This window comes from Homo sapiens, chromosome 6 (assembly GCF_000001405.40).
Source record: "Homo sapiens chromosome 6, GRCh38.p14 Primary Assembly".
In the NCBI taxonomy this organism is placed as follows: Eukaryota; Metazoa; Chordata; class Mammalia; order Primates; family Hominidae; genus Homo; species Homo sapiens.
The window spans coordinates 168,395,326-168,421,796 of NC_000006.12; the positions used below are offsets into that span (position 1 = coordinate 168,395,326).

The 26,471-nt window shown below is 49.4% G+C and overlaps 2 long non-coding RNA genes across 4 annotated transcripts, besides 2 other annotated features; one reads left to right on the forward strand and one right to left on the reverse strand.

The window, feature by feature from the left end:
- Positions 210 to 711: an enhancer, noted in NCBI's record as "H3K27ac hESC enhancer chr6:168796215-168796716 (GRCh37/hg19 assembly coordinates)". NCBI's record gives its function as "activates a minimal SCP1, AML or CMV promoter by ChIP-STARR-seq in naive H9 embryonic stem cells {active_cell/tissue: H9 hESC(naive)}" and the evidence as "EXISTENCE:reporter gene assay evidence [ECO:0000049][PMID:30033119]".
- Positions 15,127 to 17,782, reverse strand: LOC105378140 (uncharacterized). 3 transcript variants are annotated; one of them, XR_007059935.1, is made up of 3 exons: positions 17,565 to 17,782; positions 17,300 to 17,430; positions 15,127 to 17,144 (listed from the first exon to the last, which is right to left on the reverse strand). It is a non-coding gene; the product is annotated as an uncharacterized LOC105378140 (long non-coding RNA). The 3 variants fall into 3 exon arrangements; XR_943292.2 differs by having other exon boundaries at positions 15,127 to 16,095; positions 17,300 to 17,782; XR_943291.2 differs by having other exon boundaries at positions 17,300 to 17,782.
- Positions 15,980 to 17,179: an enhancer, noted in NCBI's record as "CDK7 strongly-dependent group 2 enhancer chr6:168811985-168813184 (GRCh37/hg19 assembly coordinates)". NCBI's record gives its function as "activates an origin of replication core promoter dependent on BRD2, BRD4, P300/CBP, MED14 and CDK7 cofactors, with strong dependence on CDK7, by STARR-seq in HCT116 cells {active_cell/tissue: HCT116}" and the evidence as "EXISTENCE:reporter gene assay evidence [ECO:0000049][PMID:35650434]".
- Positions 17,783 to 18,055: 273 nt separating the features above from the next.
- LOC105378141 (uncharacterized) lies at positions 18,056 to 26,002 on the forward strand. The gene is made up of 2 exons (XR_943293.3): positions 18,056 to 18,343; positions 19,892 to 26,002. It is a non-coding gene; the product is annotated as an uncharacterized LOC105378141 (long non-coding RNA).
- Positions 26,003 to 26,471: the final 469 nt, after the last annotated feature.

Genomic DNA, 26,471 nt, shown 5'->3' on the forward strand with positions numbered 1-26,471 from the left:
ACTCCTAGAGCCCATCGGAGGGCCCAGGGTGGGATTCGCGATGGTCAGAATCATACACCCAGCGTCACATGCTGGAGCCCTCACTCCTGTTTCCATCTGAGGAGGTGACAATGAGAAGTTTCCATCTGCACACTGGGAAGAGGGTCCTCCCTAGTAACCACACCTGGCACTGTGATTCAGGACCTGCAGCCTGTGATTCAGGGACCTGCCACTGTGATTCAGGGAGCTGCAGCATCCGAAGCTGTGAGGGATCTTCGTAACTACTCATCGTTTGGGCCACCCAGTCTGTGGCTTCATCACAACAGCCAGAGCTGACAAAGGCGGGACTGGGGAGAGCATCCTCACAGGGACCAGACACCCAGGGTCGTGTGGACATCTGGATGGGGTCCAGAAGCTGAATGGTGGGCGCCATGGATAAGCCATTCTGAATGTAGAGACAGGTGCAGAAGGACTTGGGGATGCAGCCGGCAGCATGACACACTCCTCCCGGGAAGGTAGCAGCCGCAGAGTGAGGGAGCCCCTGGCTCTGGGCTCAGCATGGCCTCTGCACCCTGCTTGACCCCTCAGCTGTGCTGTCTCAGGCCCGTGGCCTCAGGTAGGTGTTCTAGGAGCCCCCAGCTCTGGGCTTAGCACGGCCTCTGCACCCTGCTTGACCCATCGGCTGTGCCATCTCAGGCCCGTGGCCTCAGGCATGAGTTCTAGGGCCAATCTCACAAAGTCCCACAAACCAAGGAACAAATCAATGGCAGGAATGTATCCTCTCATGGTTCTGGAGGCCAGAAATCCAAGATCAAGGTGCCAGCAGGGCCAGGCTCCCTCGGAAGGCGCCAGAGAGGGACTGACTCCAGGCCTCTCCTGTTTTGAGAACGTCCTCCACCTGTGGCCCGTGAGCATAACACCAGTCACTACACGGTGTCTCCGCATTCCCTCCTCTCAGGAGGACACGGGTCATGTTGGATGAGGGAGCACAGTGCTGACCTCGTTTTGACGTGATTACCTGTGTGAAGATGTCATCTCCACATAAAGCCCCATTCGGAGTCACCAGGGTTGGGACTCACTCCAGCTCACCTGGGAGACCTCGGCTGGCAGCAAGCACTGGTCACCAGTAACAACGGCCTCTACGTCTTAAGATTGTAACAAGCATTTGATAAGAAAGGAAAGTGAAGTACTGGACTCTTTTCTGAACACAGGATATGAACAATTCTCTCAGAGATGCACCCAGACCCACCCGGCTTCTGCCTGCGGGCAGCACTTCCGAGCTGCAAACTCCCGCCCGGTCACCAGGAGAAAAGCCCCCAGCAGCTAAGCTGCAGACCCCGGCTGACCAGGCCCACAGCAGACACGAACCTGACCGGCCTCCTTTAATCTAACGTCCAATAACTGGACTCTCAATGTCTCCCTCGGGGGCATCTGGCTAACAAGCTCTCAACAACGTGGTCACTCCCATATGGCACAGCCATGGAAATGAAAATTAATCGCAGGCCAGGATGCGCATGTAAAGGCGAACAGGTCGGAGGGAACAGATGTGTCTTACACCAAAATGGATATAGCGAAAAGACAGGCTGACAACGAGCCAGGGAAAGGTGAACAGACCCATTTTCTAAACAACATGATTAAAGGTTCTTCAGCCAGAACTCCAGAACGCCTACGTGGGAACGTTTCCTGCCGAAATGGAAACATCTCACAAAGAGTGGACACAGTCCTGTCCAGATCCAGCCCCGGATACTGCCTGGTCAATAAAAACCCCTGATGTGCACAACCGATTGAGTCAGAGCAAATAAAGTGAGTTATGGAAGCCAACTGACGGATGCTCTGAGGGCAGTCGAGCAGACAGAGCTCCAGAAGGAGTGCGGTCCAGCTCACCCTGGAGGCCTCAGGGCTCAGCCGCCCACGGCCAGAGGTGAGCACATCACAACGTCCTGGACGGTGCCCTCCTCCAGGGACCCTTCCAGCAAATCATGGAACCCATGAGGTTATCGGATGCCTGTAGCCCTGGTAACACAAAGATATTTATACCACCCCCATCAGTACATGCTGCCACATTGCAAGTTGCAAACCCATTTTTGTTTTCAGTTATGCTCATACAGATTCATCTCCAAATGGGCAGGAGCTTTGGGATTTTTTTCTAACAGCAGAAATTGATATGTTCATCCATTTTATTCTGCTGTCTGATGTCCTGTGATCAGTAAAGTGCATTTTTCAGGCAACTGACTGAGGTCAGAAATGTCAGCTGCAGAACAGAGGGAATGTATCCGCCTTACAGTGCATTCAAGATGTTACAGGAAATGAATAAATGCTAATTCACGCACCCAAAACAATGAATATTCAATTTTATACTTTAACCCAGGAATAGACTACGAACTTCCTCCAGAGTGCTGTATCTGGGGCTTGTATTTCCAGAGAGAGGAGTGATGCGCTTGAACCCTGGACCTGACTATGGGCTACAGTCACAGGCACATTCTGCCACCATCCTGTTCTGCACCAGACGGGTTTACCCTGGCAGCGACTTTCCCTGGTAACTATGTCAGGAAATACTGCGCATTGGGTTAATCTTGGGGGGGGAGCAAAGAAAGCTTGCTCTCCCATCTTTTGTGGAGGGATTTAGCAAAGCCAAAGAATGTGGCTTCTTGGTATCTGACAAGTTTTTAACCAGGTACAAGAGGGAGATACTTGTTATTTATAGTTATAATTGTCTTCTATGAAGATGGTTTCCAGGGTCTCTGCAAAGAGTGGGCGGTGGTTTTGTTAGGTGGACCCCCTAATAAACCCTGTTGATAAATGAATGCAGTTAGGGAGCCTGGTCTGAAGTGTCGGCTGGAGAGACTTGAGTTGTTATGTGCAAGGGAGTCAGAAGCATTTGGAATTCCTGTGTAGTGTTAGAGAGGGAGGTGTCAGCAGGTGAGGGAGAGGGAAAGATAGGGAGATGGATGGGCAAAGCTTGGGTGTTCTGTGTAGAGACTTGGAGAAGGTGAGAAATCCCTGGGATTAGGATTCTAGGAACTTGGGGTTCAAGATGGTGGACAAAATACATCCACTCAGCACCCGCTGTGCCCAGGGCCCATTCCATTGTAGTTCAGTTGTAAAGAAGGGAATAAAATCATAAAAGCAATGAGGACAGGAGGGAGAACCAAGGGCAGATCAGGGAGTTTGACTGAAGTTGGGGAGATGAAAAGATGAGACAGAGTGTCAGGTGGATGAGTAAGTCAAGCAGAGGACACAACATCTCAGAAAACACCAGGGGTCAGGGAGGGGCAATGGGGCAAACACAGCTGGCTCCCTGGAAGACTAAGGAAGGGCAGGTCCTCTAGGCCAGAAGAGGAGAATTCCATGAGAAACTGACGCACTGTCCTTAGGAGAGTACAGCTTCTCTGTGCATGCCAGTGCGTGAGAAAGGCAGATGCCTCACTGACCTGGCCTTTCGCTCCCAAATACAAATTAACAACCAAGGGGGCTTTCTATGCCATCAACAGAGCCAACCAATGTGAACAGAACCAACAAATGATTCAGCATGGAAGACAAATGATTCAGGAAACATGAGAACATAACTTCAGAAATGTCTGAATGATACAAAATCAATGCTCCTGGGTTACTAAAAATAATTTTAAAAAGCTTCTATGAAAACTGAATAATAAACGAATAAAAAAATTTTTGAATACTATATATGTGATGGAAGGAATGTTTTAGGTAAAGGAGTTAAATAACAGAATAAAGATAATTAAAGATTGAATTCAGAAACTTGAAGATAAAAGCCAGATTATTTCTCAGAACAAGGATTAAGACAAAGGGGTGAAAAATATGAAGGGAAGTTGAAGGAATGCAATCAGTCAAGTTGGGAACCTGATCTCCTTCTCACAAGGACACTAGGAGAGAACAGAAAATGGGATAGAGAAACAATCAAAGACATGATACAAGAAAAATGTCAAGCTGAAGAAAGGCAGAAATCCTTAAGCTGAGAGCACTCACTAAGGGTGGAGCAGGATCAATGGAAAATGAAGTGCACATGATCATATTCTGGTTAAAAATTCAGACTTACAAGAATAATCAACTAGAAGATACCAAAAGTGTCCAGAAAGAGGCCAGGCTCAGTGGCTTACATCTATAATCCCAGCACTTTGGGAGGCCAAGGTGGGTGGATCACCTGAGGTCAGGAGTTTGAGACCGGGCTGGCCAACATAGTGAAACCCTGTCTCTACTAAAAATACAAAAATTAGCTGGGTGTGGTGGCACATGCCTGTAATCCCAGCTACTCAGGAGGCTGAAGCAGAAGAATCACTTGAACCCAGGAGGCAGAGGTTGCAGTGAGCTGAGATTGAGCCATTGCACTTCAGCCTGGGCAACAAGAGTGAAACTACATCTCAAACAAAAAACAAAAAGTGTCCAGAAAGAACCAAAAATTGTTCCCTACAAAAACAGGAACCAGATCTGCAAAAATCTCATTATACAAACTACCATACACTTAAGGGAGAAAAAGAGAAATAACTTTGAAGTGATGAGGAAGAGTGATTTTGAACCCCAAATTCACAAACTAATAGTAAGTGTGAGAAGGGGAAAATGAAGGCATTTTCAGACCAATTGAGAATAATAAAATTTACCTTATACATTGACATTGATTTTAAAAGACCAATTTTCTTTAGTAAATCATACAAGGAATCTAGAAAACAAGGATGACGTGGGATTGATTTAAGTAGAAATGGAATTAATCCAGGAATTCAGTGGTGAAGAGACCAGGAGGATAGCTGGGCAGGGATCCTAGAAATCAGTTTGGAAGAGGCAGTCAGAGCCCCTGGAAGACACTCTTCAAAGAGGAAGCACATTCCGTCCAAGAAGCTTCATGATGGAAGACCCAGAGGAACAGGGCTATGTGAGGAAGGCATGTGCTGTCTGCAAGAAACCAAGAGAAAACAAATAACTAGTTGGAAACCCTGAGAAAACAACTACAAAATACTCACCATCCACATGCATTGGCTCCCATCCCCTCTGGCCCTTCTCCAGCCCCTGCCCCTCATTGCTTCCTCTCCGCTGGATTTTTTCCATGGCCATAAAAATATGCTGTTTTCCTCCTATCTCCAAAAAAACCCCTCCCACTTGACTTCACTTTCTCCCTCATTTAGTGCCCTGTTTCTCTGTTGGTGTTTATATCAGAACCCCCCAACATGCTCCCTCCACTTGCTGTGTGCCTTTCCTCCTGGCTCCTCTTGAATCCACTCTTCTGCCCCCTCACCGATGCTGGTAATGACAAGGTCCCAGGCACCTCTCCATTACTAAAAGCAACTGTGCGTTCTTCATGTTCCTCTTCCCAGATCTACCAGCAGCATGTAGCACAACCTCACCCTCATCTTTAAAATCCTTCCTTCCTGTAACACCTGAGGCCCCCACTTTCTGGCATTCATCCTGCCTCATGTTTCTTCCTTAGTCTTATTCTGCCCCAACATCACCCAACTCGTAACATGGGAGTAGCACGTGGCCCCGGGCTTGGACTTTCTTGTTGTCCTGTCTTCTTCCACTTCCTTGCTGATTGAATTAGGCAGAGTTCTCCAGAGAAATAAAACCAATAGGATGGATGCATAGATAGATGATAAATAGATAGAGATAGAGATAGATGGAGAGATATCTGTTACAAAAAATTAGCTCATGTGATTATAGAGGCTGAGAAGTCCCATGATCTGCAGCTGTTACGCTGGAGACCCAGGAGATCCCAGGCTTCAGTTCCAGTCTGAAGGTAGCAGGCTTGAGGCCCCAGTAGAGCTGGTGTTTCCATTTCAGACCAAGGGCAGGAAAAGACCACTGTCCCAGCTCCACAGAGAGGCAGGAGGAGGTCCCTATTCTTTGGCTTTTTTGTTATGTTCAGACTACCAACTGCTTGAGTGAGGCCCACTCACATTGGGGAGGGCAATCGGTGAGTTCAGTCCACCATTCAAATGTTCATCTCATCCAAAACACCCTCAGAGACACATCTGGAAATAACACTCAATGAAATGTCTGGGCACCCCATGGCCCAGTCAAGTTAATGTAAAATTAGCCACAACAATCCACTTCTTGTCAACGTGGCACCCGTACACATCTCCTCAAAGCATACTTAATCTCAAAATGAAGATAATCATAAGGTCATAATTCTGCCTATCATGATATAACTGTCCTGAGTACAACCAAAAATGCACTAGCTCCTTCCCGCAAAAGAAAGCAAAGTCCTTGGATGATGTTTTTGCTTCTATTTGATATCCCATGATTTAAATAGTATAATGTAAAATGAACAATACTTAATACTATGATATAAAGTCAATTCATCATCTGTTACATAAGGTAATGAGAGAAGAGAAAACATATATATATACACATATATATAAATTAATCTTATTAAGGTCATAAGGAAAAATTATGACCTTATTATTGTCTTTATTTTGAGATTAAGTATGATTTCAGGAGATGTGTATGGGTGCCAAGTTGACAAGAGTTGGACTTGTGGATAATTTTATGCATCTACTTGACTGGGCCATTCATACACACACACCACACACACACTCTCAAACACACTCTCACACACATTCACATACACACACACTCACACTCATAACAAAATAAGGATAAAATCCTCATGAGGAGTACAGCCCTTTTTCCTGTAACTGGTCCCATGGTCATAGCTGGTATTTACAACACGTCACTGGTAACTGATCCCATGGTTATAGCTGGTATTTACAATGACTTTCTTCTACTACCCACTCTGTGTTCCCTTTGCTGTTAGCAAGCACCTCAGCTGCTCATGGTTCTTTACCTATAGACTATCTTCATTCTTGAAGGTTCTGGGCCATTTGTAGTCCTACCTGGATTAGGTTGAGTTTTCCACTGACCTTAATCACAGGGCAGGGTAATACTAAGATACAGCCTCAGAAATCTCCTGTATTCCAGACACACTCTTGCTTACCTCCACTGTGGAGTAGTATAGGCCAATTTCTTCTTAGAAGCCAGGATCCATCACCCCAGCTGCACAGGGACTCTCTTCTTTGCATATGGATTCAGAAGCAGAAGGAGCCCGAAGTTGCAGAGCATTGGTCTTAACTTCCAGTTCAATGGAATCAGTGCTGTGTCTGCCGGTGGAAGCATGCCTTTCTTTGCATTCTTTGTCTTAACTTCCAGTCCAGTGGGATTAGTGCTGTGTCTCCTGGTGGAAACATGCCTTTCTTTGTATTCTTTGTAACTAGGACCTCTAGGTTAGCAGAGCATAAAGTTGGAAGCAAAAATGTTGTCAATGGGTCACTAGGGGTGATAGGGAGTGCCACTCCTATTTCCACCTCTTGATTCCTGGAGCATGATTATGGCTCTAGGAGAAAGGGTGCCATTATTGGACACAGATTCAGAACACACACAGCCTTCTGGAGAACCCTGCCCCAGCCCACAGGGTACTGCCACCTAGCTGATGCTGTAACTGCATCTTCTAAAGCCATTCCGTGGTTCCATCAAGCCAGCTGCCTCAGGATGGTAGAGAACACAGTAAGACCCTGAATTCCAGGAGCATGGGCCCATCGTTATACTTCTTTTGTTGTGAAGTGAGTTCCTTGATCAGAAGCAATGCTGTATTCTGTAAGCTCATGGATGGTAGGTTTGGCAGAAGTGTTGCATTCAGGGAAGGAAGATGCAAACCTAGAGTATCTATTCAAATAAAGACAAAATACTGCCCCTTCCATGATGGAATCGATCCAATGTAATCCCACCCCAAGTAGCTGACTGATCACCCTGGGAGTGGTGCCACATTGGGGGCTCAGTGTTGCTCTCTGCTGCTAGCAGATTGGCCACGCAATGGCTGTTGCAGTGAGCAAAAGTCCGTGTCACTGAGCCCATGCATATCCTCCATCCCTGCCATCAAGGCCACTTGGTTCCTGAGCCCAATAAATAATGACAGTGGGGACTGGGGAAAGAGGCTGAGTGGTATCCACACGACGGTCATCCTAGCCACTTGATTACTAAACTCCTACTCTGCTGAGGTCACCCTTTGGTGAGTGTTCACATGTGATGCAAATGTCTTCATGGTTATTTTTTTGCCCACTAAGAGAGGTTTATGCACATATCTTTCCCCTAAATTCTCTTGTTCCCAATTTTCTAATCATGTTCCTTCCAAGTTCCTGACCATCCAGCCACACCATTGGCTACAGCCCATACACGGATATGTAAGCATACATCTAGAATTTCTCCTTCTAGGCAAAGTGCACAACCAGATGCACTGCCTGGAGTTCTGCTGACCAGGCAGGTTTCCCTTCACCATGTGCTTCAGGGACGTCCCCGAAAGGGGCTGCAGTGCTGCTGTCGACTTGTGGGTGATGCCTCTGTGTAGTGCAGAACCATCTGGAAGCCAGGCTCTAGCCTTGCTTTCTCTGTCAAATGATCACAGGGAACTCTCAGTGGGGACACAGGTGCAGGCTGAGACAGAAGGCAGGGGAGCAGGGGTGGAGACTGTGGGCATTTGCACCACTTCTTTATATAACTTACTTGTGCCCTCAGGACCTACTGGTGCCCGATCCCATGCACGCCCCCTTCCATTTGAGGATGGAGTGTCACTGTGCATGCTCAACTTTACGGCTTGGCGGGTCAGATACTCTAGATATGAATTTTCTGTCCCCGAATGCAATGTTTCTGCCAAAACTATCACCCATGTCTTTACAGAATGCCTTATCTGCCATCATGGTATTCATGCAGCATTGCTTCTTATCAAGGGACTCACTTCACAACAAAAGGTATCATAAGCTTATAATAATCCACTGTCATTTTCCAAGAGCCTGTCTTCTGCACAAGCCAAACAGAAGAGTTGAATGGAGATGTGGTGGGAATTGCTACCCTTGCCTCCAAGCCTTCGATGGTGGCACTAATCTCTGCAATCCCTCCAGTTCATGAAGGGCAGCTCAGATCACATAGCAACATGGTGGGTCAACAGCTTAGCATTCAGGCCGGGGGCAGTGGCTCATGCCTGTAATCCCAGCACTTTGGGAGGCCAAGGCACATGAATCACTTGAGGTCAGGAGTTCGAGACCAGCCTGGTCAACATGGCAAAACCCCATCTCTACTAGAAATACAAAAATTAGCCAGATGTGGTGGCACGCACCTGTAATCCCAGTTACTCAAAAGGCTGAGGCAGGAGACTTGTTTGAACCCGGGAGGCGGAGGTTCCAGTGAGCTGAGATCGTGTCACTGCATTCCAGCCTGGGCAACAAAGTAAGACTTCATCTCAAAAAAGAAAAATAATAGCTTAGCATTCAGTCTGCTAGGGCCAACTAGCAGGCCAAGAGCTGGTACTCCAAAGGGGAATAATTATTCACAGAGGATGACAAGTCTTTGCTCTAAAATCCTAAGGCCCTGCACTAAGATTCACCTATAGGGCCCTGTCCAAGGCTCCTCAGGGCATCCCTGTCTGCCACTGACACCTCAAGCACTGCTGGCTCTGCTCCAGCAAGTGGCCCAAGTGGCAGAGCAGCGGACACAGCAGGCTGCACCTGTTGCAGTGCCTTCTCCTGCTCTGGGCTCCACTCAAAACCAGCAGTTTTCTAGGTCACTCAGTAAATGGGCTGGAACAGCACACTCAAGGAAGGAATGTGTTGCCTTCAAAATCCAAGTAGGCCTGCTAAGCATGGTGCCTCTTTCTTGGATGTAAGAGGGGCCAGATGCAACAAGCCTTTCTCCACCTTACAAGGGCTCTCTTGACAGGCCCCACACCACTGGACCCCTAGAAATCTCACTGACTTAGAGGGCCCCTGAATTTTTGTCAGATTTATTTTCCACCATTGAAACATAAATGTCTCACCAATAACTGTAAGGCGGTTGCTACTTCTGGCTCACTAGGTACCACCAGCACAATGTCAATGTAATGGGCCAGTGTAACATGTGGAAGAAAAAGACGACCAAGATCCCTGGAAACAAACCATGACACAGGGCAGGAGAGGGGACAGACCCCTTCAGTGGGACAGTGAAGGTCACTGCTGGTCTTACCAGCCAAAAGCAGACTGCCTATGAACAGAGGTGGAGAAAGAGGCTCTTGGTAGATCAGTAGCTGCATGCCAGCTACCAGGGAATGTGTTAGTTTGCTTAAACAGAGAAATCATATCTGGTATAGCAGATGCAACTGTAGCCACTACCTGGTTAAGTTTATAAGAATCCACCATCATTTTCCAAGAGTCTGTCTCTGCACAAGCCAAACAGAAGAGTTGAATGGAGGTGCGGTGGGAATCACCATGCCTGCATGCTTCAGGCCTTTGATGGTGGCACTAATCTCTGCAATCCCTTCAGGGATGTGGTGTTGCTTCTGACTTGCTTTTTTCCTTTCACCAATACTTTGAGAAATAAGTTAGTGAGGGGAATTTTTGAAGGACGATCCCTTCTGATGATCACTTCTGTGATCTCTTCTCTACACACCAGACCTCACAGTGGAAACTGCAGCCACTCCACTAGAAAACCTGAATGCAATAGGAGTAATTGGATCCCAGGGTGGCAGGAGACAAGGGGAGGACCCTACTGCTAGAGGCATGGTGGGCAGAGTTGGTGTGATGAATAGCAGAGTCAAACGAGCAACCAGAACTGTCTGACTGAAGCAGACCTATGGCATTGTTGAGTTAATTATGGCATTTCTGGAAATGAAACAGGAAACCTACTGAATTCTTACTTGATCTGTATATAAGCAGAAAAGCTTTAGGTCAAATGAACAAAGGTCTAACTTGAATCAAAAATGGAGAATCATGGCTCCTCAATTAACTCTCAGACTTGAGCCAATTTACAGACCTAGAACCCCCGGATGAAGACGAAGGCACATCCCCTTAAAGAAGTAACCTAGTAACATGCCGAAAATTTATACTGCTGATCTTTCTCCCAGTCGTCCCCCAAAGAGACCTATGGTTTTCTTCCAAGGTAACTGTGCATTGGTGAAAAGGAAATAATTAAACCTTTCAGGGACTACTAGACATGGCTCTGAACAGACACTAATTCCAGGAGAAATTAGATGTCACTGTGGTCACTGATACTTTGAGAAATAAATTTGTGAGGAATGTTTTCTGAACCCTCCATGTGTGGGTGAGTAGATCTTAAATGACAAATCCACTCTAATATACCAATGTCTCTAATCTTTTGGATCTCTTCCTCTATGTTAGACCAAGGCAGGCCTGAGATATTCACTTCACTCACTGACAACTAACCCCACATACTGCGAGAGCCCTTTGTCACTTCCCAAACTCCAGCATTAAATGCAGAACCTCTGCTTACTGAGCCCATATCAATAAATTGTGGCGGGTCCAACTTTACGTTCCTCCACAATTATCCCACACCCTTAATATCCATTTTCACAGTGCTCCCTGGATTTCAGTCTGTGCAAATTAGAAAACCTATGTAGTTCTCTTGGAGAGTAATGCACTCTTTCACGGGGCATGCTTTGAATCTCACCTTTGGGGGTCTGCTGGGACTTGAGTCTGGTGATTGCTCCAGAAGTGAAACAAAGACGGGTGGTGATGGTGGTGGCCCCTGAGGAGTCAGTATTGTCTTGCATGGCAACTGCCTCAGGAAAAGCCATCACCACGTCCTTGGGCAAAGAAAGGTTAAGCCCCTCAGACAGAGGTAGAATGGCTGATGCCACTGAGGGTGGAGAGGCCATTTCTACTGGGGGTGGGAAGGCCATGTTTGTTGGCAAAAAGACTCATCAGAATTTAGGAGATCAATGTCCCCAACTTTACCAGGGTCTTCCCACATATCCTCGTCCTAGCTTACAGGATTCCATTCTTTCCCATTCAATGACTTCATTTTAACAGTAGACATCCTAAGAGGCTGAGAGTTCAACTTGGGCTATAATTCATCCAGTTATAGGATGAAATTCTAGGTTTGATTTTCAGTGATCTGAACCCTGTAGCTACAGGAGATGAAGGTCTCCTTTCGGGTGCATATAGAAGCTTCAGATTATTTATCTGGGGCTTGAGTTGGGAGTTTGAATCCTTGAGCTTATTCTTATCTTTCCCCATTTTGTCCAGTGACATTAGAAGCAACCAGCCAATCTCACTCTATTTGTTCATTTTCCAAACATGTTTGAAAGTATCATATTCACTGTTACCCAGATCCTTGCTTCTTATCAGTGCTTCACTAGGAGGATCCGGTGGAGACATTTTGCATGTCTTTATTTCCAAACCATGCCATGGACTGCCAGTGCTTCTTTACCACTGGAAAACAGAATAGAATCACTAGAATCTCTAACTCTAATAAGATTAGAGAGCCAATTCTAGAAATACCAGAACCAGAACCAATTCAGAAAACTCAGTCTTAAAATTCTCTTTCATATATATATGGAATTGGCTCATAAAATTCTGAAGGTTGAGAAGTTCCAAACCTGCAGTGGGCAAGCTGGAGGACCTGGAGAACTGAACCCAGATCTTCCACCACTGCTGCCACATACTGGCCCAGGCCTTCATCACTTCTTGTCTGGAATGCTCTACCATCCTCCTTCCACCATTGCTCATGTTCCACATCCCCCTTCCAATTTATTATCTTCATAGCAGAGGGAGTTCTGACTTAAAAACACAAGTCAGACAATAACACTGCCTTGTTAAACAGTTCAGTGATTTCCAGTAATATTCGACTGAAATCCAAATTTCTCAGCACGGCCTTCGAGGCCCTGCACGCCCTGCACCCTGGTCACTTGACCTCACTCCTCCTATCACGACCCCCTTGGGGCCCATTCCAGCGTCAGGAGTCACCTGACCACCCTGTCCACACAGCAGGCAGCCTCAGAGCTGTTACCCACGCTGCCCCTGAGCCTGAAGGCACTTTCCCCGATATCCAAATGGCTTGTTCCTTCTCTGTCTTCCTGAAGTCTCCACATAGCTGTCAACTTCCAAGTGAAGGCTTCTCCTCTTCCTTGTTTGGGTGACAATGGCCTTGCCTCCTGCTTCCCCTGCCACCCAATGGTTCCACATGTTCTGTGTCCCTAGAACGTAAGCTCCAGGGAGCGGGTGTTCTGTTGCTTGTTGACCATGACACAGCCAGTCCTGACTCAATTAATACTTGTTGAGTGAATAAAACAGCACATAAAGCAAAGTAAAATTCGCCATGGTTTTGAGCAGTAGAAAAAGTATGAAGAAAGAATATCCACTTAACCAGCAGAAATGCTGTCCTTTAAGCAGTCTAGTTTGAACAGTCTCAAGCTACGTAATTATGCAGGGAAATAATTTTATAAAAGGATAAAATATAAATGACATTTTTAGGGTTTAAAATCAGCGTAAGGAACATTTTAGAGTCATTGCACAGGAAGGAAAGTGACAGCTACATGGTGACAGCGACATGCTTTAGTAATCTAGAAGGCAGGCTCTGACAGAGCTGTGAGGTGGGAAGAAAGGGAGGAGAGTGGGGAGTGCAGGTTGGCTCATTTCCTTTTGTTATAATGCGGGGAAGCAATAGGCATAGTCTACAGGTGAGGCCTCGAACAAAGCCATGATCAGATTTGAGAAGTGCTAAGAAGGCAGCGGTGACACGCAATGTAAATGTTAAACTCCTGAACTTTCACATGTCAGTGGATTACTGCATAAAGTTGACACATCCAAAGGCAGAAGGATTCATCCCCTGTAGAGGGCAATTTAGCACTGTGTGTCGAAGGAACAGGTGCACAGGTGCACAGATACACCCTTCGCCTGTGAACCCCTGCCCTGAAATGCCCTTGCCCTATCCTATGTCCTCGCAAACACATGCAATGATGTGCAAACAGCACCTGGAGCAGCTCAGATTCCAACAACGAGGGGCTGGTGGGAAAATCTGTAGCCCACAGGGCCACGGAATGCTACGGAGTTTACAAAAGGAGCAGCGTCTCCAGGTGCCCAGATGGAAAGTTTTCTAAAATCAGCTGCTAAGTGAAAAAGCAAGGTCCTAAACAGTGTCTACATTGTGCTATCTTTAGTGTCAAAAAAAAAAAAAAAAAAAAGGCTGAAAGGGCTGGGCATGGTGGCTTACGCCTGTAATCCCAGCACTTTGGGAGGCCGAGGCCAGTGGATCACCTGTGGTCGGGAGTTTGCGGCCAGCCTGTCCAACATGGAGAAACCCCGTCTCTACTAAAAATACAAAATTAGCTGGGCCTGGTGGCACGCGCCTGTAATCCCAGCTACTCCGGAGGCTGAGGCAGGAGAATCGCTTGAACCTGGGAGGCGGAGGTTGCGGTGAGCCGATACCGATATTGCGTCATTGCACTTCAGCCTGGGTAACAAGAGCGAGACTCGGTCTCAAAAAAAAAAAGAAAAGCTGAAAATAGGAAGGTCTATCTTTATTTTCTTTTGTGTGTGTAAACTCCCAAAGGACACATGTAGGACCGTGAGACGGGACTGCCTCTGGGAGTGGGAAAGGGGCAGACAGGTACACAGGGGAAGGAGTCACTGGATAGCTTTGAATAATCTTTGGTTTTTAAACTGTGTTGATGTATTATCTATGAAAACAATTAGAAATCAGTGGGCCTGCATATTAGTGGCATCTATGCATTATTCTGAATTATGGAAGTGGTCAGAAGAAGAGCTGAAAGCCAGAAACAAAAGGCGTTAGAACCAGGCAGTGGAGCAGTGGGAGGGACTCAAAAGATGGAAAACCTTTGCTTTCTGTTGCATGACCCTTTGCACTGGCTGAGATTTTTCTGCACCCGTGTTCGTGATTATTTTAATAAGTTTAAAACATTAGAGTTGCTAAAAAACGGGGGTATCCGATACGTGATGTTTTCTGTGATGTATAACCTATTCCTTGTGACTCACAAAACTTCCCTGAAGGATCTGCTGTACCCTAAAGCCTCACATCTGTGGCTGTCAGAGAGACATCAAGAAGGTACCAGCACAGCTACAGGACGAGGGATGGCCAATGAGAGCTGCGCAGAGCTGGTGTCAGGCTCAGAGCGGAAGCTGGGGGGCTCCCAGCAGGATGCAGAGAGTATCGGGGCACCCCGGATTCCCCAGGGCTCAGGTGGGGGATCAGTGATGGGAACCTAGGCCTCCAGGGGCGAATGGCCCAGGAGTGGCGGGAAGGTCCACAGCTTCTCTGAGATTCTTCAGGAGGTGGAGGGAGTCCTCACTTCACTCCCTGAGACCGAGGTCAGTGTGGGAACTAAGTTTGCTCACAGAGTGAATCAGACTGGAATTAAGTGCTACATTTTTGGTTTTATACAATAGAAAAATTGTTCTTTATTTCCTTCAAAGAAAACAAATTTGTGGCTGACTACTTAGCAGAGCTTGTCCCGTCGCCGTCCCGAGGCTGTTTGCCCTTGGGAAGGAGGGGCGGCCCGTCCCTGGCCCTGCAGGCGTCCGCGCAGCCAGATGGTCACCCACACGTTTCCTCAGGCGTGGAATCCAAACACCAGACGTGCACGGAGCCTGGTGAAAGGAAGGCTGTTCTCAGGCCCGCGGTGCACAGCCTGCCAGGGCGGGGGCAGTGGGGAGCTCTTGGCCGCTGGCCCTTCATGGCTGGGTCTCTCTCTAGGCGTTCCTTCATGGGCCCCTCACCACCATTCCCTGCATACCCGGCCCAGCAGCTCTGCACCGTGGGCAGGAGGGGACCTGGTTCTAGAAGACCTTCCATCGTGCTGAACCCAAGGCCCTGGGCGAGCTCCCCACCTCCCGGCCCCCCACCTCCTTTCCTGGAGTGGCCTGAGCCAGTAAGTTCCACCAGTAGGTCCCCTGCCCACTGCTGGGAGGCAGCTAGGCCTGTGGCTGCTGGAGTCAGAGGGCTGAGTCTGGCCTCTCCACGTGAGCTGGGCATGCATTTTCTCATCCCCAAAGCGGTAACGATGTTATCGACCTCACAGTCATTATTTTATTTTATTTTTTGATGAAGTAAGTTTCGATGTAAGGAAAATGCTCAAAGCAGTTGCTGGGACACACACAGCGAGCTGCCGGAAACAGCCACGGCAACGGATCCACTCATGATGGGTCTGAGGATGTGGCCCTGCCTCGGGGCTGGACGAGTGTGATTCACCCGCTTCCGCCGGCCTGCAACAGGTCTCCTTTCACAGAAGAGGGGGTCAAGACGGGCAGGAAGTTGACGTCCTCCTCACAGAACACGCCCATCACAAAGCCACGGGTGGCCAAGGCAGTCGGCTCCAGGGAAAGGCAGGCAACATGACTGTGGACAGAGGACAAGGTCTGAGGTGGGGAGCAGCGGCCGGTCTTGGGTCGAAGTGTGGACAAGGAGCACCTCTGCGTCGCTCCAGGTCACTGGGCAGCAGCCCGCTTCAGGGTGGAGAACTCATGCCTGCCTGTGGAAAGTGACTGTGGCCCCAGACAGCTCAGGGCTGTAAGCGGGGCCTGGCTTGCTCCCACAAAATGCCATCTCTGTAGATCAAACCTCGAAGCTGGTGTAAAACACGTTATCCACCAGACCGTCCTTCCCAGTTATTGTTGTAAAATATAATTACTGTTTTCCCCAATTTCTGCAGAAAACTGCATTGGTCTATTCTCACATGGGAAAGGTGCCATCATAATCTCTGTGTAGAGAAGAAACTGGAGAAGCTGTAGTGGAGGGACATTCTTGGCACCCAGCTGAAGACCGCGGTACCGTGCAGGTGGATTAGGACAGCGAGGGGCACTGTGGCGTCGTGCAGGTGACCCAGGACAGCGAGGGGCACCGTGGCGTCGTGCAGGTGACTCGGGACAGCGAGGGGCACCGTGGCGTCCGTGCAGGTGACTCGGGACAGCGAGGGGCACCGTGGCGTCCGTGCAGGTGACTCGGGACAGCGAGGGGCACCGTGGCGTCCGTGCACGTGACCTGGGACACATGCTCACAGGAAAAGGGTTTGTTCTGGGCATGCCTACAGGGCAGGCCAGGGGACCTGGCTGTCCTCCCTGCGAGGAGGGTCTTGATTTCCTAGCGTTTTCTGGGTCTCTATTTTGGGTAGCTCTCCTGATTGTACCTGAAAGTTTTCTTTTAAATCCAGAAACTATTAATCACTGAATGATTCACTGAGAACTACTGAACCATAATTATGGAATGAATCATATGCAATTTAATAACGATTTAACTCAAATATTTATAAAAATGTGCTCATAGCGACAGTGTGGTTCTGATATTTAGCCAGGCGGGTGAAGAGAAATGTCCCTGCTTTGACCTCGGCTGGGTCGTCCGTCCTGCCTGGCTCCAAGCTCTGTGCCGGGGAAGAGCTCCGAATCCTCTGCCTGGAAAGGGAATAATTCACCGCCAGGCTCTGGAAGCCGAGCTGAGGAAGAGGTCGGGCTTTGGCTCCCATCCCTCCTGGTCTCACACGACCTCTCTGCCCCGTGGCGGCTGGCGTCCCTGTCCACCCTCGCTCTGACCATTCCCATCGACTCACCTCCAGATGCCGCTGAGGCCTAGGTGTGGCGCGAGGGGGGCATCCAGGCAGAGCCTCACCAGCACTCCCGGGCTTAGCTGGCCCTTCGCACCTGCCGGAGGTGGCTGTGTCTCCAGGTCTTGAGCTTGAGCCTGGAAGAATTTTCTACTGCAAGTCAGATGGGGGCTCAGCTTCCCCCGCCGCAGGCTCAGAACCCCCTCTGCTTTCCAAAAAGTTTGTGGGTGTCATTTTCTCTTCTCTCACCCACATCCTGGTAGGCACGTACCTTAAAAAGTTCCCTTGACTTGAATAGGCCTTTTTTAGAGAGGAAATGTAGACTTTGGTTTAATCCACAATCTTGGCCCTCCATTTTTTAGGGTTTAGGTGAGTGTGGCGGGCTCTGCCGGAGCGTGTACACCAATGTGATGGATTCCACAGGAGTGTGTACGCGGGCGTGGCGGGCTCTGGGGGAACGTGTACGCAGGCGTGGGGGCTAATGTCTATAAGGGCGCGGTGGAGGGGGGGCCCTGCGGGAGCGTGTACGTGAGCGCGGCGGGAGCGTGTACGTGAGCGCGGCGGGCCCTGCGGGAGCGTGTACGTGAGCGTGGCGGGCCCTGCGGGAGCGTGTACGCGGGGGTGGTGGGCCCTGCGGGAGCGTGTACGCAGGGGTGGCGGGCCCTGCGGGAGCGTGTACGTGAGCGCGGCGGGCCCTGCGGGAGCGTGTACGTGAGCGGGGCGGGCCCTGCGGGAGCAAGTACGCAGGTGTGGGGTTTGGGGGACTTTGCGGGAGAGGCTCCAGAGGAGACACTGCCAGGTCTCTGCTGGAGGGAGATGACCACTTTAGCCCGGAAAATAGACTGGACATGCAAGAAACAACACGAAAAACATGGCGTACCAGCTCGGCCATGAGCGCCGGTGGGTGCAGTGGGGAGAGGAACTGCTTGAGGTGGACCCGCTCTCCAGGGAGTCCTCCTTCCGGCTGCGGAGGCCTGAGCCGGGTGTGGAGAATTGCGCTCTGCTTGTCCAGCAGGAGGGAGGCCGTTCTCCTCAGGCAGATAAAGAGAGGTAAGCTGCCAGGTTTTCAGCCTGGGAATTTTCCTTTTTAACATTTTTAATTGTGGTAAAAATCACAGCGTATAAAATAATAGGAAATTTCCCACCTTAACCATTTTTAAGTGTCCCGGTCAGTAGTGTTAAGTCCATTTACATCATTGTGAATATTTTGCTTTTCCTAACACAAGAGGTTTGTAGAGAGGAGCTGCTACGGCAGCTTTTTCTTCCTTTTTTTAAAAAAACTTTGCTAACAGTGGACCTAGACCGAGAAACCCTAGGCCTGGGTAGTGGCCCCGGTCTGGCAGGGATCGGCTGTGCAGGGCGAGTGAAACCGTGCTCCCGTCTCTGTGCGCTCCCGTCCACGGGGTTCCACACACCCCTCCTCTTTCAGAAACACCGCGGGGTCTGTCCGACAGACGTCAGGGAGCCCAGGGTATAAAACTCCTTCCCTTCTTCGGGTGGCCTCTTCCTCCCTGATCTACAGCGGGCTCCTTCCAGGCGTCTTTATGTGCAGGTTGGGAGAAGGAAAGAGATGGATGAATTCTTGACCACCCTGCAGAAGTTTTCTGAGAACTGACTTCTTGGGGTCAGAAATGCCCAAGCTCCGGTCTGTGTGCCTCAACGGCCACCGAAGCTGCTTCTGGGGAAAGTCTGCCTTACTTGACTCTGTAAACCAGGTCCTTTAAAATATCCCGCGCTCGTTTTTACCAGCGCTGAATAAGACCTGTGAGGCCTTTCCACCCTTGTAAAATCAACTGGACTTACTTACGGTCCTGAAGATGCATCATCAGTGTTTGGGGGAAAACGATGAATCTGTAGCCCTTTGGTGGTTATAGAAAAAGATCATGTCCACAAATAAACCAGGCCAGTCTTAGGAATAACCCAGACATTCTTCAGAAGCATATGCAATCTAAATAATTTGGCCGTACCACTTAAAACTTATGTTGTAGAGCAGAGACTGTTTTTTAAATACCCTCTCCCATGACTCAAAAATAAAACACAATTTTGTTCAGTCTTAAACAGTCACACAAAATCACCTTTCTGGGACAAAAAACCACCAAAACAAAACACAAGACTAAATAGTTTCAGCCAAAAAGTTTTCAGAAAGTTATGAGTCACTGAATATAGGATTATAATGAGCGTCTGTGAGTAAACTTAACTAAAGCACAGATTCTATTTTGTATGTGGGAAGTCACACACACAAAGAGAGACTAGAGATACTACGGACCCACTGTGTAGGGCTCTGTTTATCTTGGCATGTCCGCATTGTACTCCTGGCGTTGCCAATTCACGTCTGTTCCTTAAAGACCCGGCTCAAAATTCAGCTGCTTCAAAAGCCTCCCCTGATTAATCAACCTCGCCCAAATCTATTCATCCCCCTGCACACCCTAAGTGATATGTTTCTTTTTTTTCTTTACTATATCACTCACAGTTGCTGACATATTGTCATGTAAACATTTTCTTGTGCGCTCACAAGAAGTTGGAACTTTAATCATTCTCAGGCTCCTCTTTAATTTCTTCCATGCCTTTCCCACCGTGACCTGACTGCTCTGCCTACAGCAAGTACTTAACGGAGACACACGGCAGCATGGAGACGGGGGGGTCACCCCACGACCGTTGGAGCAGCTGTGGTCTTTCCACTAAGAAGTAAAGTTTGCATCTGGTCCACACCACTGTGCTCTGAATATCAGAAATGGGAAGCGGCGCCCAATGCTTCCAGTGAGGCAAGAACAAGTCACAGCAGCACAACATCTGCAGCTGGAGAGGGGATCAGCCTTTTCCAGAACATTCCCCTCCTGAGCCAAGGGGACAGTGTAGTGGAAACCAGACTCACTTCTCCCTGAGGTAGGAAGGGGGAATGAGGGTGGAGGGCTGGGAGGTGCCGCGTGACCACCCAAAGAAAGGTCTCAAGGTCAGGGAATCCTGGAGCAGGGTGCTTCCTCTTCAGAGTGTGGGATTTTAAAAGCCCAAAGGAGAACTTAGACCCAAGGTGGGAGCTCCAGCTTGCTCTTCCTGCCTTGATGGTCTTGCCTTTCCCTTTGGATGGGGTGGCGCACCTTGTGGTCTGTGCTCAGAAAGGGTTAAGTCTCGCCCCCAGCCCCGGGATCTGTCAGCCTTGGCGCTGAAGCTTCCTGTGGGGAGACTGACACCCTGGAGCGGACCAGAGCCTGGCGCCCCAAGAGAGACGGCACAGACTCCCTAGAGGGACGGCGTGTGGTCACCAGGGATGGAAAGGAGTCGGCCTTTACTGGGCAGTGACCATGCGCTGGGCCAGGGGCAGGGATCACATCTCAGCTCCATGTCGCCGCTTCAAGACAGGTGCGATCGTCTCTGTTTTATAGAAAAGGAAACTGAGTCTCTGTGGGCCTGGTCCTAACCCAGTCACACGCAAGCATTCATGCCTGCGTGAAGTGTGTCTGGCTTCACCCTGCCCCGCCAAGTGGCCTCAGAGAGAGGGGACCCACAGCTGGAGGCTGGGACCCCACGCGGACTTCCCGTCCCAGCTTGGCACCTGTACACTATGCACATGGGTGCTCTTGCCACAGATGCAGGAGGACAGAGGACGGGTAGTGGAGCTGGTGGACCGAGCTCTGAGATGCTGGGGCTCACACACGCTGGGCAGGCCTCTCAGAACACACAGCCCACATGCCTGCCTGCCTGCCCAGCCACGGCCCCCGCACCGACAGAGCACCCCCAGACACCCTGTTCACACCTTGGACCCATTCCTGGACCCCCTGGATGTTTCTGGCAGCTCCCCAGGCAGCGATGCCACATGCGTCCTGCTCTGGAATTCCATTATGAGCTCCCAGTGAAGACCAAGTACACCTTTATAATAAAAATACCACCCTTTGTTGGCACACGAACTCTCCATTAGATATTTATCAAATGTTTAAAAAGTTGGCCCAGAACCACACACGCTTTACCACGAGTCTCCTTGGTAGCTGGAGGAAAGCAAGGCCATCGAAGGTGGAGCCTGGGGTGCCTCCATCCAAGCCCTCATCTTGCAGACAGGCGGCTCTCCTGGGCTCACCTGTGAGCCCACACGCAGAGCCACCTGCGGCGTTTGCGCAGAGCCTCTGCGGCCACCAGGAAGTCACACAGCCCTTGGTGGGTCCGCAGTGGATCAACACAGACACGGCTGCACCTGAGATTCAGAAGAACGGGCGGACGGTGCTTTCCTGCATGTGTAAGAGGAATTCATGGGGCGAATAACCCAACAGAGGTAAACATTAGGGGCTGAAGTGACTTAAGCATATTAAAATGTAGTTTTTCTATTTAAGCTGGTTTCTCCATCACTAGCTCCATCACCCCATCCATCTATCTGCCTCCATCACCGCATCCATCTGTCTGTAGACAAAGAGAGGTGTTACTCAATGCCCAGGAGTAATTTAGCATTTAGTTTTGAAGGGTGCCATGAAAACAGAGATGCCGAGTGTTGCCAAAGACTCGGGCCCATTTGCCCTGAAGCCTGCGCTGGAGCTCCACTTCTCAGCTCCTGGCCTGGCTGAGTGTGCGCCACGGGCACTCCTGGTGTTCCAGGGAACTGTGGAGGCCACTGGGAAGGAAGCTGTTTATTGGCATCATCTTGGATTCACTGAAGAAAGCCTCATGTCACAACCTCTGGCTGTTGCTAGCTGCGCTGGGTGTTGAAAGGACAGAGGCAGGGGGCGCCCCGGGGCAGCCAGGGGCCTTGTGGCATAGTCTTCCCCAGGAAGAAGCAAAGGAGAGCATCAGATCACTCTAAAACCCTAGTGCAAACACACGGGCTGCCGCAGTGTAGACAGCCGGACTGTGCTGGCCTGTAGCCAGGCCTGTGGCTTGCTCCCGCCACCGGGCTCAGCTGTGTGGACACAGCAAGCTCTCAGTATACAATCGGCACTCATGAATCCTGTCTTTCTCATCCTAAATGCCCATCAATTTTGTAAAGCAACCTTACTTGAAGTCATGTCAAAAGCTGTGCACGTCCCAGGTGGGCTGAAGAAGAGGCAAAATTGGCGTAAAAGGAGCCAAGAATTCTCCATTTGTTGATGAAAGGTAAAATTGTCCACCTGGCACGTGCTGCCTGGCTGACCAAGAGTGAAGAAATGTTTTTTTCTGGCTTTTTTTCTAAATGCATTTGCTATGCTAGGCTGAAACAGAAATGCTATTCACATCTGGTGGAGCAGACCTTATTTCCACTCTCTGGACATGCTCCGAAGCGCGGGCTGAAGTAGATCAAGTCCCCAGGGAGCTCAAGCCTGATTCCAAGGAGATTGCCAATATTTTAGGAGGGAGTAAACATTTTCTGAAGTTTTTTGTTGTCTAAAGCCAAAAAATGCACTTGCGCCTCCTGAGAGGACAAAGAGGAAGAGAGACGGGGAGAGGGGACAAAGGAGCAGAGACGGACAGCAAATTCACGCAGAGGAGGGAAGGTGGGGGATGCCAGGCCCCTCTGGGTGAGTCGAAGATCTCCACCAGAGGCTCATTTCAAAGGGGAAGGCGGCACCTTTATTTTCAAAAGAGGCACCGCTCCTGGCTTCCTGTGAGCTCCACTTCTACCGTAGTTAGAGGAGGAGGGTTTGATGGGGCTCAGGGTCATGGCCGAGGCTCTCCAGCCTGTGTGGATGAATGCACTCGCAGATCTCATCTCTCCGCTGCTCCCTCCCCAGCCTGATGTCCAGCCCTGCCCTTGCACTCTAGTCTCATACGCTATTGCTCACTTGGCATCTCAAATGACAGTTGCCCAAAACATAATTCCAGCTTCTCCTTCCAGATTTGTTTCATCTCCCTTCTGTCTCACTGAAGGACAGCCCCACCCACTCAGCCGCCTAAGCCAGAACCCCATGTGCCGTGCACCAGTTCTTCCTCTCACTTGTCTGCTTAGTTAAATCCTCAGCGACCCTTGCTAACAGCACCTTGGAGGCTCTCTCAGGTGTGTCCACTTGCCTTTCTTTCTCCCCTCCTGGGTCTTCACCCATGCAATCACCAGATTGTGCCTGGAAGACAAATAAATGCACCTCCCTAGTTGACTCCTGCTTGGACCCCCAAGGACCCAGCACCCAGGGTGAGCATGTAACTCAGAGCAGAGCTGAGGGTGGCCATGCTGCACAGAGCTCGCGTGCACCCTCCCTGCCCAGGCTCCCCAGGGCCTGGGCTGGCTGTTCTCCCTCCACTCCCCCGTCCCACTGCCCTCCTCCAGGCCTGTCACGCTCAGCTGTGCTGGCAGTGGGTTAGCATAAATCTTTAGCAATGGCTTTCTGGGGAAAAAAAGGCCTGAGGTTTGTAGCATTCACAAATTCCTGTACTCGTACTTCCCTCCAGACTGATTTCAAGCTAACCACTGGCTGACAAAATTCCTGCAAATGTAACTGTCAGCTCTTGGAAGCCGGGACGGCAGCTTTGGCATCTTGTCACTGACTGTGCTTTCCTTAGAGGATGGTGAAGGAGCTCCTTAACAGGGTGGGTGCAAAGGAGCTCACCAGGTCCGTGCTGCAAAGTCAGATTCGGGCCTTTGTCTCTTAACGCGTATGCAACATTGATGATGATCGAAAGAGAAAAAATTGAACACAAAGATTTGCCTGGGTAAACATCAAATGGCATACCAGAAAGAAGTGAATTTTGCCCCATTTTTAGCTGCATTTTCTCTCCCTTAGAGCAAACTTCCCAACTCAGAGGGGCAGACAGAGGGGCAGAACAGGGGCAGGGGACGTATCCCTCCACCATTGGATGACGGCTATTGTCTTATTCACAGCAGATTGCTTCTCGGCCTTTTGGCTAAGATCAAGTGTGTCTTATTCACAGGAGGACGTGTTTCTTGTGTGACCTTTGGGAAGTGAACCCTTGGAACAGCGTACTTTCTAACATGTCCCCCATCAACACCGGGACGTGGTTATTGTGTAGACTGGTAGGGGCCCTCCATCCTCAGTGTTAAGACTATAGGGCTGGGGAAGGGGGAGAGAGGGGAAGGCTGACAAATCAAGGGGTCAGATGAGACAGGCCTGGGGCCCAAGGCCTGAGGCACCCCCTTCCTGTGCTACCCTAGGGCTCCAGCACCCAGTCTCTCCTTCCCCTGCCTCTTCCCCGGCTCTGCCAAGCTTTAGGACCACTTGGCCTCGCTTGTAAGGGACTGCTGAGCCCTCAGTTGCCCCTGTTGCAGGAAGCACCTTGGGGGCTGGCCCCTCTCTGTGTGGCCTCGTGGGTATCTATCCACCCCTCTCTGTATAAAACAAAGAATGAGAGGTGGGAGGCGGGGTTGCCGTTCCTAGCAGGGGTAGCGTGCCTTCTGCATTACGAGGCCAGTGGCATATAATAGTTCGTGTTTGCGACTCTATCACAATAGTCAAATCTATTCACAGACAATTAGCCCACATATGCTTCTCTGCCTGGAATATCCTCCCTCCCTTATCCACCTGGAAACTTCTGCTCATCCTTAATCCTCAGCTCCAATGTCAGCTGGAGGGGTCACCCTCTACCCTGGCCCCTGAAGGGCGTCCAGTACCCTCCTCTCTGCAATGCACTCAGATCCCCAATTTACCTACTTTCTAGCCCTATACTCTTAAGACTTGGAGGATGCAGGGCCCCATCGGCCTACACCATAATCCAGTCCCAGTGTCTGTCTGGGACTTGTCAGAAAGTACACCATTCCAGGGGTCCCTTTCCCAAAGGCTGTGTAAGAGGACACATGAGCAGACGTGAGCAGATGGGCGCACTGACGTTGCATATACGTGAAGACAAAGGCCCCGAATCTGACTTTGCAGCATTGGCCTGGTGAGCTCCTTTCCACCCACCCTGTTGATGATCTCCTCCACCCTCCTCTAAGGAAAGCGCCGTCAGTGACAAGTTGTGAAGCACAGTCAGGATGGCCACAGCAGCCGTCCCGGCTTCCAAGAGCTGACAGTGACATTTGCAGGAATGTCATGAGCCAGTGGTTAGCTTGAAATCAGTCATGAGGGGAGTATGAGTACAGAAGTTGTGATTTTTAGCAGAGATGAGGCCTTTCTATGTTGCCCAGGCTAGTCTCCAACTCCTGAGCTCAAGCAATCCTCCCAGCTCAGCCTCCCGAAGTCACAGCAGTGCTCCTGCTGGAGACGCTCCATCCAGAATTCTCCAAACCTTGGAGGCTGAGACTTTATATCTCCCCTAGTGATTTATTCGTACTTCATTAATTCTACAAATAGATTTTGAGTGTCCACGACGTTGCCCCCGCTGCTGGGGACACAGAGTGGGTCATACCAAGGGACCTCCCCCTTGCACATGGGGCTGATGTTGTGGCTCGCCTGCCGTTTACTTGTGTGCCCCGCCCCCCACCCCCACAAGCCACACAGTTGCTCGGTGTTTCTTGCAGAGTCTACCTTAAAGTCCCTTTGTCCTAAATGAAGATGCCTCGCTCGGCCCAGGTGCACTGAGTCACAGCCGCCTGCACGATGCCTCCCAGGGGCTGAGGCTTTTCATCAGTATCCACATTGGTCTCATACAGACCAGGAGTTAAGGGCCATCTGTCTAAGGATTCAGAGAAACAGGAAAAATACTCATGAAAAGATACTTTTTTTTTCTTTTTTCCAGTTTTATGGAAGTATAATTGACAAATAGAAATTATATATATTTAAGGCATACAACATGATGTTTTGATATGTGTATAAATTGTGAAATGATTGCTGCAATCAAGCTAATTAAAACATCTATCATCTCATATAATTATCTTTTTGTGTGTGTTGAGCACATCTGAGATCTACTCTGTTGGCAAATTTCAGCTATATAGTACACTGCTATTAACTACAGTAATCACACTGTACATAAGATTCCCAGAATTATTCAGCCTGCATAAATGAAAGTTTGTCTCCATTGACTAACTCCTCCCTAGTCCCCCCAGCGCCCTGGCCAGCCGCTGGTAGCCACCATTCTATTCTCGTCTTCAGTGAGTTTGGCTTTTTCAGGTTCCACAAATACATGAGATCGTGCAGTGTTTATCCTTCTGTAACTGGCTTATTTTCCTTAGCGTTATATCCTCTAGTTCCATCCACGTTGTCACAAATGACAGGATTTCTTTCTTTTTAAAAGCTGGATAATATTCTATTGTGTTTGTACACAACATTTCCTTTACCCATTTATCTTTGGACACTTAGGTTGCTTCTATATCTTGGCTATTGTGAATAATGCTGCA